General features: G+C 43.5%; 1 protein-coding gene across 8 annotated transcripts in view; it reads left to right on the forward strand.

Annotated features, from left to right (window-relative positions):
• The window catches only part of UBR2 (ubiquitin protein ligase E3 component n-recognin 2), a 129,477-nt gene extending 116,984 nt beyond the window's left edge, over positions 1-12,493 (forward strand). For 7 of the 8 annotated variants that reach the window (XM_017010594.2, XM_011514438.3, NM_015255.3 and 4 more), the window contains 5 exons: positions 2,043-2,099; positions 3,782-3,859; positions 7,204-7,374; positions 8,557-8,658; positions 10,020-12,493. In XM_017010594.2, the coding sequence (XP_016866083.1) occupies positions 2,043-2,099; positions 3,782-3,859; positions 7,204-7,374; positions 8,557-8,658; positions 10,020-10,161 (550 nt within the window). In that variant the 3' untranslated portion in view covers positions 10,162-12,493. The other variant, XM_047418493.1, reaches the window with a different exon arrangement.

Consider the following 15,324-nt stretch of genomic DNA (forward strand, 5'->3'; position numbering starts at 1 on the left):
ATTAGCCAGGTGTGTTGGTAGGTGCCTGTAATCCCAGCTACTCGGGAGGCTGAGGCAGGAGAATGGCGTGAACCCGGGAGGCGGAGCTTGCAGTGAGCCGAGATCATGCCACTGCACTCCAGCCTGGGGGACAAAGCGAGACTCCGTCTCAAAAAAAAAAAAAAAAAAAAGAAAGACCAGCCTGGGTAACATGGCGAAACCCCATCTCTACAAAAAATTTAAACATTAGGCATGCTGACATGTACCTGTCAGGAGGCTGAAGTGGGAGGATCACTTGAGCCCTGGAGGTCGAGGCTACAGTGAGCTGCATGCCATTCCACTCCAGCCTGGATGACAGATCAAGACCCTGTATCAAAAGAAAAAATCCAGACTATATATATCCAGAATTCCTACAACAACAACAAAAATAAAACCCAATTAAAAAATAGGTAAAGGGCTTAAATAGGCATTTCTCCAAAGAAGATAAATAGCCAAAAAAGCATACGAAAAGATGCTCAACATCACTAGTCACTGGGGAAATCACACTGACATACCACTTCACACCCATTAGGTGAGCTATTACTTTTTTAAAAAAAGAAAATTACAAATGTTTACAAGGATGTGGAAAAACTGGTATACTGGTATCCTTGTGCATGGGATATAGAAAATGATAGAGCCACTACGGAAGACAGCATGACAGTTCCTCAAAAAGATAAACATAAAGTTACCTTATGATTCAGCAATTCCACTTCTAGGTACAGATTACAAAATAACTGAAAGCAGGAACTCAGATCAATATTATACACCCACATTTATAGCAGCATTATTCATGATAGCCAAAAAATGGAACCAACTCAGATGTTCAACAGATGAATGGATGCACAAAATGTGGTGTGTACACACACACAATGGACTATTATTCAGTCTTAAAAGTAGGCCAGGTGTGGTGGTGCACGCCTGTAGTCCCAGCTACTCGGGAGGCTGAGGCAGGAGAATCACTTGAACCTGGGAGGCGGAGGTTGCAGTGAGCCAAGATTACGCCACTGCACTCCAGCCTGAGTGACAGAGCAAGACTCTGTCTCAAAAAGAAAAGTAAAGAAAATTCTCACACATGCTACAACGTGGATGAACCTTGAGGACGTGTGCTAAGTGAAATAAGCCAGTCACAAAAGGATAAATACTGTATGATTCCACTTCACTGAGGTACCTAGAGTAGTCAAATTTATAGAAACAGAAAGTAGAATGGTGGTTCCCAGGGGCTGGGAGAAGGAATTTTGCATTTAATGAGTACAGAGTTTCAGTTGGGAAAGATGAAAATGTTCTGGAGATGGATGGTGGTGCTGGTTGCACAACAATATGAAGGTACTTAATGCTACAGAACATTAGACTTTGAAGTGGTTAACATGGTCATTTTTATGTTATATATATTTTACCACACTAAAAAAAAAAATTTTTTTTTTTTTAAGTCTCACTCTGTCACCCAGGCTTGAGTGCACTGGCACAGTCACAGCTCATCCTCCTGGGTTCAAGCACTCCTCCTGCCTCAGCTTCCCAAGTAGCTGCGACTACAGGCACATGCCACCACACCCAGCTAATTTTTGTATTTTTAGTAGAGAAGGGCTTTTGCCATATTGCCCAGGCTGGTCTCAAACTCCTGGGATCAAGTAATCTTCCCGCCTCAGCCTCCGAAAGTGCAGGGATTACAGGCATGAGCACCTGGCCAAAAAAGTTTTATTTTTAATATGAATGTTCTAGCTCCAGATAATGTTAGCTTGGCATTAATACAAATTAATATAGACTAGTTTTTCTAGAGTATCCAAATTAGTAAGATAATGATGTTTATAGTCACAAATTGTATATATTTAAGCATTCTTGCTTTTAGAAAATATTCTCCTGATTTTAAAAGTTGTAGGCAAAATAGTATTTCTACAGGTTTCTTTTGATGAAGTAAATATGTTAGGTCAAGAATATTATTTTCCTCTTATTGGCTATGGAGGGGAAAAAATTCTAGTTCTAACCCTTTAAAAGTGTTTTGTGTTTTTCCCCCTCTGTTTACATTAAAGTTGGTGCCGTAACAGTGAAGTTAAAAGATATCTAGAAGGTGAAAGAGATGCTATAAGGTAAGTTAAAGAGCCTCAAAAACTTTATTGAGGTGGGAGAAAGGGTGGAATCAGGATATAAGTGCTATATTCCTTCAGAAACTGACTTCTCAAGCCTTTAGTGATTCCAAAAGGTTAAGATATGTTGCCTTCATATTTTCTTCTTAATCTAATGAGAGTCTATCAAAGTCAGAATTATGAACATAAATATACTACATTCTTGGCAGAGAAAGCAAATAACAAAGTTATATTTTAGGATATTTGCTTTAAAAAATATAACACGTCTCCTAGGTTTTTCTTAGCTCTATTTTTTTCTATCTTTCATTATGGGAAAACTCTCCAGAAGTGTGAAGAGTAAAATAATGAGGCTCCACATACTTGTCATTCACCTTCAATAACTATCAGTCAAATCATGGCCAGTCATTTCTTATAATTATTTTTTCTTCATTTCTTTTTACATTCTATTCTGATTCTATAGTAAAGTGTGCTCTACCAGATCCTAACAAGATGTGTCTCAATTGTTACTATACAAGTTGCGCATCTCTAATCCAAAAATCTGAAATTTGGAATGTCCCCATGAGCATTCCTTTAAGCATCATGTTGGCACTCAAAAAGTTTCAAATTATGGAGCATTTCAGATTTCAGGTTTTAACAGTAGAGATACTCAACCTGGATTAACAATTGAAATGCATTTGTTGTTATCTGGTAGAGTATGCTTTACTACAGAATCCAAACAGAAGTAATGCAAACATTCCAAACTCTAAAAGAATTCAAAACCCAAAGCACTTCTGGTCCCAAGCATCTCAGATAAGGGATACTCAACCCATATCTCTTAGTTCTGGTAAATACATCGTCCATAAAAGTCAGAAGACTAGAGATTATCTGTCCTATTTGTTTGCTTTTACACATCCAGAAATAACACCCCAATTTTATTAGTTTGGACCACATGAAATGTCAATTTTTATCAGTCAAAAATGGTTGAATATCACAATTTCATGTGATTCCACCCTGACGTCAGAAAACTCTTAATAAATGGAACAGTAATCCTCAACTAGAAGTATACATCAGAATAACCTTGGGAACTTTTGAAAAAATACTCAGGCCACTACCTACTGAATCTAATTTCTCTAAAGTTAAAGCCCTAGCATGTCTGTCCCCTCAAAATTCCCCCAAGTGATTTTGATATGATTAAGAACTACTGTCTAGCCGAGCACATTGGCTCACGCCTGTAATCCCAGCATTTTGGGAGGCCGAGGCGGGCAGATCACGAGGTCAGGAGATCAAGACCATCCTGGCTAATACGGTGAAACCCTGTCTCTACTAAAAAAAAAAAAATACAAAAAATTAGCTGGGCATGGTGGCGGGTGCCTGTAGTCCCAGCTACTCGGGAGGCTGAGGCAGGAGAATAGCATGAACCCGGGAGGCGGAGGTTGCAGTGAGCCAAGATTGCGCCACTGCACTCCAGCCTGGGCACAGAGCTAGACTCCGTCTCAAAAAAAAAACAAAAAACAAAAACAAAAAAAAAACTGTCTAAAATAATCCCCCCTTCAGTTTAACTCCATTTCTTGTCTTGGCAATAGGTAAAGTAGTGAAAGGCCATACCATGTTACCCGGGCTAGGCAGGTATGTGCACATGGAAGTGCCTCATAGTATAATATGACCTAAATTAATGGAGTGTTCTTTAATTTTTCTCTTTTTTTCAGATATCCAAGAGAATCTAACAAATTAATAAACCTTCCAGAGGATTACAGCAGCCTCATTAATCAAGCATCCAATTTCTCGTAAGTTTTGCTGTTAGCATTGAACATTCCCTGCCACTGGAAACACCTCTCTACAAAGAATTTGAAGGATTTTGTTGTTGTTCTTTGTTTGGGTAGAGAAATCATATCTGTAGTCCTTTATGAGAGGAGAGGGAGAAAAAAGGAAAAAAAGAAGAAACTTGGCGAGGCACGGTGGCTCACGCCTGTAATCCCAGCACTTTGGGAGGCCGAGGTGGGTGGATCACCTGAGGTCAGGAGTTCCAGCCTGGCCAAACCCTTGGTGAAACCCTGTCTCTACTAAAAATACAGAATTAGCGGGGCATGGTGGCAGGCGCCTGTAATCGCAGCTACTCGGGAGGCTGAGGCAGGAGAATCACTTGAACCTGAGAGGCAGAGGTTGTAGTGAGCCAAGATTGAGCAATTACACTCCAGCCTGGGTGACAAAAGCAAAACTCTGTCTCAAAAAATGAATAACATCTGTAGTACTCTATACTACATAACTTATAAAAGCATCATTTCACTATGTTTCAGAATAAGACATGGAATGGGAGTAGGAGAAGCAAATTTGATTCATGAATGTTTAATAATTGCACTTAAAGTAATAACAGCCCTTAGTAATTTTTTTTTTTTTTTGAGACGAGTCTCGCTCTGTTGCCCAGGATGGAGTGCAGTGGTGCAACCTTGGCTCGCTGCAACCTCCGCCTCCCAGATGCTAGTGATTCTTGTACCTCAGCCTCCTGAGTAGCTGGGATTACAGGCATGCACCACAACGCCCAGCTAATTTTTTTTTTGTATTTTTAGTATCACCTCAGCCTCCCAAAGTGCTGGGATTACAGGCATGAGCCACTACACCCGGCAGTAATTTTTAATATAGTATCAAATATTTAACATACAAGCAGCATAAAGAATAATATAATAGGGGAGGCTGAGGTGGGAGTATCACTCGAGCCCAGGAGATGGAGGCTGCAGTTAGTCATGATCGTGCCACTGCACTCTAGCCTGGGTGACAGCGAGACCTTGTCTCAAAAAAAAAAAGAAGAATATAATAATGTAAGAGCTTAAACATTACCTAGACAGTTGAAGCTCCCCAGCTGTCTCTTCTCTGTTGCCTCTTTCTCCTCCCTCTGAAGATACCTACTATTCTAAATGGAATATTAAGCATTCCATTCCTATACATTAACTATATAAGTTTCTATTCTTGAGCAGCATGTATTGTTATTTTGTATGTTTTTTTTTTAATTAGTATTTATTGATCATTCTTGGGTGTTTCTCGGAGGGGGGGATTTGGCAGGGTCATAGGACAATAGTGGAGGGAAGGTCAGCAGATAAAGATGTGAACAAAGGTCTCTGGTTTTCCTAGGCAGAGGTCCCTGCGGCCTTCCGCAGTGTTTGTGTCCCTGGGTACTTGAGATTAGGGAGTGGTGATGACTCTTAACGAGCATGCTGCCTTCAAGCATCTGTTTAACAAAGCACATCTTGCACCGCCCTTAATCCATTTAACCCTTAGTGGACACAGCACATGTTTCAGAGAGCACGGGGTTGGGGGTAAGGTTATAGATTAACAGCATCCCAAGGCAGAAGAATTTTTCTTAGTACAGAACAAAATGGAGTCTCCTATGTCTACTTCTTTCTACACAGACACAGTAACAATCTGATCTCTCTTTCTTTTCCCCACATTTCCCCCTTTTCTATTCGACAAAACCGCCATCGTCATCACGGCCTGTTGTCAATGAGCTGTTGGTTGCACCTCCCAGATGGGGTGGCGGCCAGGTAGAGAGGCTCCTCACTTCCCAGACGGGGCAGCCGGGCAGAGGCGCCCCCCACCTCCCGGACGGGGCGGCTGGCCGGGTGGGAGCTGCCCCCCACCTCCCGGACGGGGCAGCTGGCCGGGTAGGGGCTGCCCCCCACCTCCCGGACTGGGCGGCTGCTGGGCGGAGACGCTCCTCACTTCCCAGACGGGGCGGCTGCCGGGCGGAGGGGCTCCTCACTTCTCAGACGGGGCAGCCGGTCGGAGACACTCCTCACCTCCCAGACAGGGTCGCGGCCGGGCAGAGGCGCTCCTCACATCCCAGACGGGGCGGCGGGGCAGAGGCGCTCCCCACATCCCAGACGATGGGCGGCCGGGCAGAGACGCTCCTCACTTCCTAGACGGGATGACGGCCAGGAAGAGGGGCTCCTCACTTCTCAGACTGGGCGGCCGGGCAGAGACGCTCGTCACTTCCTAGACGGGGTGGCGGCCGGGCAGAGGCTGCAATCTCCGCACTTTGGGAGGCCAAGGCAGGCGGCTGGGAGGTGGAGGTTGTAGCGAGCCGAGATCGCGCCACTGCACTCCAGCCTGGGCAACATTGAGCACTGAGTGAGCAAGACTCCCTCTGCAATCCTGGCACCTCGGGAGGCCGAGGCTGGCAGATCACTCGCCGTCAGGAGCTGGAGACCAGCCCGGCCAACACGGCGAAACCCCGTCTCCACCAAAAAATACAAAAACCAGTCAGGCGTGGCGGCGCGCGCCTGCAATCCCAGGCACTGGGCAGGCTGAGACAGGAGAATCAGGCAGGGAGGTTGCAGTGAGCCAAGATGGCGGCAGTACAGTCCAGCCTCGGCTCGGCATCAGAGGGAGACTGTGCAAAGGGGAGAGGGAGAGAAGAGAGGGAGAGGGAGAGCTGTATGTTGTATTTTATTTTATTTATTTATTTATTTATTTATTTATTGAGACAGGGTCTCACTCTGTTGCCCAGGCTGGAGTGCAGTGGTGTGATCTTGGCTCACAGCAACCTCCGCCTCCCAGGTTCAAGTGATTCTCCAGTCTCAGCCTCCAAAGTAGCTGGGACTACAGGTGCACACCACCATGCCTGGCTAATTTTTGTATTTTTAGTAGAGACGGGGTTTCACCATATTGGTCAGGCTGGTCTCAAACTCCTGACCTCAGTTGATCCACCCACCTTTGCCTCCCAAAGTGCTGGGATTACAGGCGTGAGCCACTGCACCCAGCCAATTTTGCATTCATTCAGCATTGTTTCTAAGATTTATCTGTATTGACGTTTATAACTTTATTGATTTTTCATTGCTCCATAGTATTTTATTATATGGCAGTGGTACCGTTTATCTTTTTCTCCTATTGATGATTTTATTTATTTTTTTTTCTCCAGTTACTGATTCTTTTGAGTGTTTCCAGTACATGGTCTTTGTATATATGTGCAAGATGTTTCCTATTCCAGATTCTAGGAATAAACTTGCATAGACTGTAGGATATACACTTCTTTGGCTTTACTTGATATTGCAGAATTCTTTTCTGGGCTGGTTTTTTCATCACTAGCTCTTTAGCCACTCTTTAGATCAATGACTTGTGGGTTTTTTATCCCTTGGAGGTGCCCGAAATCAGGTGGTGATAAGAGCAGAGCCCCAACTCTGTGCCTTGTGTGCGGATCTCTGCTGTGCTCCCAGAGTTACTGCTGCCAGACTGAACTGGAAGGGGAGGATGTAGGAGCCTGCACAGCTCACACCTACTCCTGTGGCTCTGGAGTGGGCATCTTCCTGAGGTAAGGACCTGCAGGGGCTTTTTAGCTTTGGATCTGCCTCAGTATCTGACTGTTAGGGTGTCACAGGAAACTACTATATTGCCAGGAATTTTGAGACTACTGTTCCGTGTGATTCATTCCAGAAACGTGGAGCTCCTTGTCGCCTCACATCTCACATCTGGTCCATGCCAACTCTGTGTTGGTTCTTTTATTGTTACCATTCCCACTCCTCTTCCCTCAACCATAGGTGACAGTTCTGTTCTACTTTCTCCATGTCTCCCACTAATGTGAAACTTCTCTGATTTTCTGAACAAATCCAGTCAGAATTACTCTTTCTGTTATGTCCTCATGGCTTTTGGATTTTACCTCCACTTATACATATTATCACAACTCTACATGCCAGCTTGTGATTAGTGACTACTATGTACCAGGCATTGAGGATGCAGTAGTCCACAGTGCAAAGATCTCTGCCCTTATGGATGGAGCTTGTTTTGTATGAGAGAGAGGACAAGCAAGACTGACAAGAATTTAGATAGTGATATAGGCTAAGGAGAAAAAATAAAGCAGGGAAGGGGAATATGAAATGGCAGCTATGGAGCTAAATTTGAGATTTAATTTTAGTAGATCAGGGAAGGCTTCCTAAGAACATGACTTCTGAGTAAAGACCTAAAGAAGTGGGAGAACATTCTACTCAGAACATTCTGCACAGTTCCTGGGGTAGAAATGTGCCTGTCTGCTCAAGGCAAGGAGGCGCGTGTCACTGGAGTGTTGTGCACAGGTGAGAGAATCCAGGGGCCTGCTGTGTGCTGGTGACATCTCTGGGCAAGGTGTAAGCCATTTCAGGGTTTGAAGCAGAGGCATGACATGAGTGTGGGCTCCTCTGGAGCATAGGTTGTATCCATAGCTTAGTCATCCCCCCAGTACCTTGATAATTTCTTATACGTATTAGGTCCTCAATAAATGTCTGTTTAATTGTGCTGTACTATTAATGCCAGAAAAAGGCAAATGTCTCAAAGGGATCAGGGGACACAAATTTGACTCGATTCAACCTATTTCCTAGTTTGTGCACAATTTTTTAATGGATAACTTCCTCCTAATAGTGGTTTAAATATCAGTACTATAAGACTTCATTCTATTTGGAACTGAATACAAATGTTGGTTACTAATGTGTAAATGTGTAACGTATGACTGATCTCTCTACAGAGTACGGGAATGTCAGGTGCTATTTTTAGCTGGCAAAACCAAAGGCTGTTTTTATTCTCCTCCTTACCTTGATGACTATGGGGAGACCGACCAGGGACTCAGGTAAGAACCCATCCTGAGTTAGCTAACTCAGGGCCTGCAGCGCCCTTCCGTATGTGGTGACGTCCTGAGGGTGGAGGGCTGAGGTGGTTCTGGAAGAGGTGGCTGTGTTATCTGTGGAGTCTTCCAAGGAGGGTGCCCTGTCAGCCTGGTTTGGTGTTCTTTTCCCAGCCTTCAGAATGCCATGAGGAACATCAGGATAGGTAAGGGAAGAGAATAGGACAGAGTGCAACTTTATTCCATTTATCACTCCAAAGAACTGTTTGAATTGCCATATAGCATCCCAGCTCAGAGCACTCCAGGGATGGCCCACTCTGACTTGTATGGCCTTGTATAGAGGAAGCCCAGTGTTTGAGAAAATCTTAATTGCTAACAAATGTGCTTATTACATTAAAATCTGGGGGACAAAGATTTAAAACATAAAGAACAATATAACAATATTTGAGGCTAAGTTACTTCTACTCTGGTAGCTTTAGTATATTGTAAGCTAACAATTCCCCCAAGCACTATTAAAGAACTTCTTTCAGACCATCTCTTTTGTCTAAAGGAGGTATAAGTTTTAACCGCCATAGATATGCCTGTCCAGCCTTAAGTAGCAGATGTTAAAGGCCTAGAAACCCAAGCAAGGTAAGTAGATGAGCTGCCCCAGGCGCTGGACTGCGAGGCTATGCCCATATGCCACCCAGTGCTGGTGCTTCCCACTGTTCTCAGCGTGGGCTGTTAGGAGGAGGAGAGTCTGATTAGTGAGTGAGAGGATGGCTGTGCTCAGAAACAGGAGCAGAGGTGCCTGGCTCAGGGCACTGGTCCCAGGCAGGAACCCACCAAAGCTTGCACTTGTGTTTAAATTAGACCTGGAAGTTACTCACATTTGATTGCTTCACTGAGACTGTGGCTGAAAGATTGCATCTGAGGAATGTTTTTCTTTTCTTTTCTTTTCTTTTTTCTTTGCACTCTTAGTAAAATCTGTGAGGAATATTTTTACTCCTATAATTCTTCTTTTGTGTTCTCCTCTGCCCTCTTCCCTTTTTACACGTTACCAACAAAATGGGCAATGAATTGGTAGTTTTAGCCTCTCAACCCAGACCCTCCTTATCCCCCGCAACCTCTATTCCCTCACCTCACTCTGGGTAAGTCTGGTTTGTGTACCTTTCCTTCCTCATTTCAGCACTTATTCCCTTTTACCTGCTCTTGGCAAAGGGTCAGAGCTGATGTTTTTGTTAATAGCCACAGTCACCTGCCAGACAGAAATGTTGCAGGGAGTCTAAAACCAATAACTTGTAACCTTGCCTAAATCAGGAAGGGTTGGGTTATAATAGAGGAATAAACAGAACACATTCTGAGTGACATGTGTCTTCTCTTTCTAGACGGGGAAATCCTTTACATTTATGCAAAGAGCGATTCAAGAAGATTCAGAAGCTCTGGCACCAACACAGTGTCACAGAGGAAATTGGACATGCACAGGAAGCCAATCAGACACTGGTTGGCATTGACTGGCAACATTTATAATTATTGCACCACCAAAAAACACAAACTTGGATTTTTTTAACCCAGTTGGCTTTTTAAGAAAGAAAGAAGTTCTGCTGAATTTGGAAATAAATTCTTTATTTAAACTTTCCTTCCCAGTTTTATAGTTTCTGGTTCTGAGGACTGATGAAAATCATCTTCCATCAGCAGATTTTCTTGCACTGTTTGCTGTGCCCCTCAAATATAATGTCTTGGGTTTTAAGATCGAGCAAGGAGCTTCTCTTCCTAGATTGGATCCCAGCCCCTTTGTGGGGGTCTGACTGCATAGTCCCAGCCATTATGTGATATTTCACGTTATTGATGATAGTGAACCGTGGGTCCGAAGCTGACTCAACGGAGGCAGGGAACAAAGTCTCTGTGGTCTGTTGGGTCATACTTCCTGGTTCCACTGAGTGGCCCAACACTGGGACTGGGTTGGTGTCCCCTCTGCTGACAGGACCCTACTCCTAGGAGCAAAGTGGTTGATTTTGAAGGCAGTGTTCCCTTCTCTCCATTGACTATGAGAGAGTTGGGGGACACACATGCAGAAGAAGCCCGTGGGGAGAAGGTGGATTCCTGGTGTGCTGGCTGGTTTTTCAGGGCTGTTAGAGGTTTTTTTTTTTTCTTTTTTTTTTTATGGCAAGACTTTTGGCTTTGAGAAAACTCACTTAGAGGGCTTTCCAAAAACTTAGGATGGTCTAAAAAATTAGGATATTCTTTTAGAATTAGGAAGAAAAATTAGGATATTCTAAAAGAATATGGATTAAAAATTTAGGATATTCTTTTAGATATCCTAATATCTAGATGAGAGGCCTTCCTTCATAAGATCTGGTTGTTTGGGCTGTGGTTGGCATAAGTGATATTTATTTTGGCCTCTGTCACATCCAGTTTCTTGAGCTTTTAAGGTAAGCTTCTTTTGGCTTTTTTTCAGATGTTCACCAAGCTTAAGTTTAAAATAATAGGTATTCTAAAAGAGTATCCTAATTTTCTTATCTGTATTCTTTTAGAATACCCTAATGTTTCAGACAGTGATATTCTCTTGTTATTTCTAAGGCTAAATTGGCAGAGTATATCATCTAAAGCCAAACACTGAAGAAGGTGAGAACCCACTCCCACCCAGCCAGCATTTCCTGGAACAGACAAGCTGCTGCTTCCTTGCTGGCTCACTTAGTGCATTCCTGGGATGGTCTGGCACCCAGGCTTTTTATTCTTTTTGATCATTGTTCTTACTGAGGTGCCTTCCTAGAACAAGAGCCACTTACAAAATAGCTTATAATTATTATGTACCACACAACTACTATTGTTTGATGTATGACTGCTGAGAGCTTGAATACATGCAGAGAGTGACTGAAGACTTAGTAGAGGAATAAATTCTGAGCCTGTCTAAGGTGGGGCTAAGGAACAGATGAGTAATAAGAGGCTCTTGGATTTTTTTAACCAATGCAACTGACCCTTTCAATCAGTTTTCTTTGAATTACATCTACAAGTTTTGTTCCACTCAGCTACCAGTCAACTAGGCATGCTCCACAGTATCACAGGAAGAAGGTCAGAAATCTGGAACTGAAGCTAAAAGAAGTGAGGATGTAGAAGCCACATTCCTCTCCAAGGTAGTGTGTGAAAGAACCGCCCCCTCTTGACAGGAGGATGACCGTCGCCATTCTTGCGTGGGACTGACTCACCCAGCTGAGAGGAGGACCAATAGAAAGAAAATTCACATTTGAGTCCACCTCTCTCCCCCTTTTTCTGGCCTTCATTCATAAGATCTGGTTGTTTGGGCTGTAGGTGGCATAATTCATGTTTATTTTGGCCTCTGTCACATCCAGTTTCTTTAGCTTTTAAGGTAAGCTTCTTTTGGCTTTTTTTCATATGTTCACCAAGCTAAAATTTAAAATAATAAGACCAGGTTTCTCTCTGTACAAGTGGATTATAAACATTTTCACCAAATCATAACAATACTCCAGCTTTCCGGTCCGACTTCCTAGGAGCCTGGAGTTAGCAAAGGTTGTCTCTGGATTTCATTCTCTGAGAATATCACAGAGCCTGGGAGAAGATGAATTTACATGAAATTGCAACATACACACCTTTTTATTTTCTGGTGTTAAGCTAGTTGTCTTTCCTACCTTACAAATCATGTTAGTTTTATGATTTGTTCCGCATGTTTTATGTTTATTGTAGAAATGTTTATATAACATACGCTTTCCATATCAGGGAAAATCATATCTGTTTAATAAATTGGCTATAACTTTAATATCTGTGGACAACTTGTAAAATTTGGAATGTATCATATGTAAAAAGTTTAAAGATATCCAAATAAATGCTTTAGGTGTTGGCATTACTTTTGGTTAGCATATATCTTTCTGTTTCATTTTACACATTTACCTGCCACAGCAAGGTGCCCGTGTCACCTTGCTACAAATATAGTGGGATATCTGTATTAGCTTTAAATTTAAGAGGGTTATATTATTATGGCCACTAGCCAAACTATCTTGACCTTCTCAGAGAAAGTGTGATCATCATTTCAGCTGATTAAGTTTCATATTCATTAGCCATGACAGCGTGTGACCTTTGTGGACCATTTTGGAACTCAAATCACTGGGAAACAGGGCACTCCAAGACCTGTGTCTGGGTTTAAACTCTTGTTCATCCTTACCTGGTGATCTCAAGGTCCTTGTCCTTACACACTCCCCTAGTGTGCTGGCTGGTTTTTCAGGGCTGTTGGAGGTTTTTTTTTTCTTTTTTTTATGACCACTTCCTGCTTTTGAGAGAGAGACATAGAAAGGCAGCTACACTGTCTTCCTAGGGGAGTCATTGCCCATGAGAATTCTGTTTTTTTTGAAATCCTCTTGAGAGCATCAAACTAAAACAGCAAGGTTTCCATTGCACTCACCCTGCCTCCTGGTCAGTAACACTGCTCCCAGCCTACTGCCTTCACCACTCTTGTCTTTAGTTCCAGGAACTCATGAAGCCCCTTCTGACATGCTCCTCCCTGTCTTCCTACTCTTGATTTTGGTGTGGTGGTGGTTTGGTTTGGTTTTTTTAAAGAGACAGGGTCTTGCTTTGTCCCACAGGCTGGAGTGCAGTGGCACAGCCTTGGTTCACTGCAGCCTCAACCTTCTGGGCTCGAGCAATCCTCCCACCTCAGCCTCCCAGTAGCTGGTACTATAGAGGCACATGCCACCACACCTGGCTAATTTTTGTATTTTTTTTGTAGATACAGCCGCGCTATGTTGCCCAGGCTGGTCTTGAACCCTTGGGCTCAAATGATTCTCCCGCCTCAGCCTCCCAAATGCTAGGATTATAGGTGTGAACCACTGTGCCTGGCCTGTTCCTACTCTTGTTTTTTAAGTCACATTTATTGAGGTATATTTTACAAACAGATTAACTCTTTTTAGTGTACAGTTTTATACATTTTAACAAATGCATACAGTTAAACAACCACAATCGAGAAATAGAACAATTCCATCTTCCCCAAAAGTCCCCTTTGTAGTCAGCTTCTTGCCTCATCCTGGCTTTCAGCTACCAGTGTTTTTCTCTCCCTTTGTTTTGTCTCTTCCCGAATGTTATATAAATGGAATTGTATCATATGTAGCATTTTGAGTCTGGCTTCTCACTAAAGAAGAATGCATTCGGGTCCTCCCTGTTCCTTTGGATTGCTGAGTAGCATTCCGTTGTACAGACTTCTGGGCAGTTGCCAGATGAAGGGCATTTGGGTGAGTTTGGGTGATTGTTTTGGTGATTACTGCTACAAACATTCATGGATGGGTTTTTGTACAAACCTGAATTTTCACTTCCCTCAGGTAAATAGCTAGAAGTTGTCCCTTACATCTTAATCCTCCATTTGATGCCATCCTGAGAGCTCAGCATTCTCTAATCTGTAACTTTGCTGTTTACAGTCCTCTGTGATGGACAGGATAAAATGCTGTCAGGAGTTAAGAACTGACATGTTTTTCCCCTTCCAGCCAATCTATCCATTGTGACCTGGGAAGGCACTTGTCTCTTCCCTGGACTTTCATAGTATTGGACAGACACTTTTCTCTTCCTAACACAGTGGTGCTGCCTGCCTGCGCTGTCATTGAGAGCCATCTTTTTAGCCAGTCGTGGATGAAAAGCCCTGTCTTGGTCCACGATTTTCCCTGGCTAAGCTGCAAACATGCTGGCCTAGTGTAACAGGTGCCCGGACGAGGAGGGGCAGGGGAGCGTGCAGAGCGGGCACCTAATCTTATTAACCCATATTAAGGTTACTAGGGGTTTATTTACTGGCAGCTCAGTCCCAGGCTTGAAGCATGTTGTAAAGAAGCTGTGGGTTCTGGAACTGAGGCCAAAAATTCTAGGACACAGCTTCCCAAATATTCAGGATAGTCATCACCTGTTTCTTCACCGTGGAGTGAGCATTTTAAAAATGAAAGTCCTAAGGCCCTGTCTACCCCCACCCCATCCCGGGGCTATGCTGGCAGAACTTTAAAAGCTAGCTGGGCCAGGTGGCTCACTCCTATAATCCCAGCACTTTGGGAGGCCAAGGCGGGCAGATCACCTAAGGACAGGAGTTCGAGACCAGCCTGGCCAACATGGTGAAATCTCATCTCTAATAAAAATACAAAAATTAGCCGGGCGTGGTGGCAAACGCCTGTAATCCCAGCTAGTAGGGAGGCTGAGGCAGGAGAATCACTTGAACCCAGGAGGCGGAGGTTGCAGTGAGCTGAGATCATGCCATTGCACTCCAGCCTGGGCAACAAGAGCAAAACTCCATATTTGAAAAAAAAAAAAAAAAAGTAGGCTGGGTCCCTCAGGAGAAAAGGATTTACACCAGCCCAAGGAAAGACTGAAGTTACACACAAGCAAAAACCTGATAGCAGAGACTTCCTGGGCACTGGTAGGTGACCAAAAGGGATGGTCCAGGTTTCTCTCGCAACTACCGGCTACCTGAGAAGACCTGTTAAAATGCAGTTAACCCTAAGCCTGCTCCGAACCAATGAGTGAGATTTATTGTAGAGTCAATGCACTCTTGGTCCTCTCAACAACCTTCAGATTCTCAGGTTGTTCACATTTGCTCCTATAACCTGGCCCCATAGAGACTCATATTTCCCTGTTTGAGGAAATAACGTTTTGGCCAGAGGAGAAGAAAAAATGGCTTGGAGTTTTGCCTAAATTTCTACATTAAAATTCCAT

This window comes from Homo sapiens, chromosome 6, assembly GCF_000001405.40.
Source record: "Homo sapiens chromosome 6, GRCh38.p14 Primary Assembly".
Classification (NCBI taxonomy): domain Eukaryota; kingdom Metazoa; phylum Chordata; class Mammalia; order Primates; family Hominidae; genus Homo; species Homo sapiens.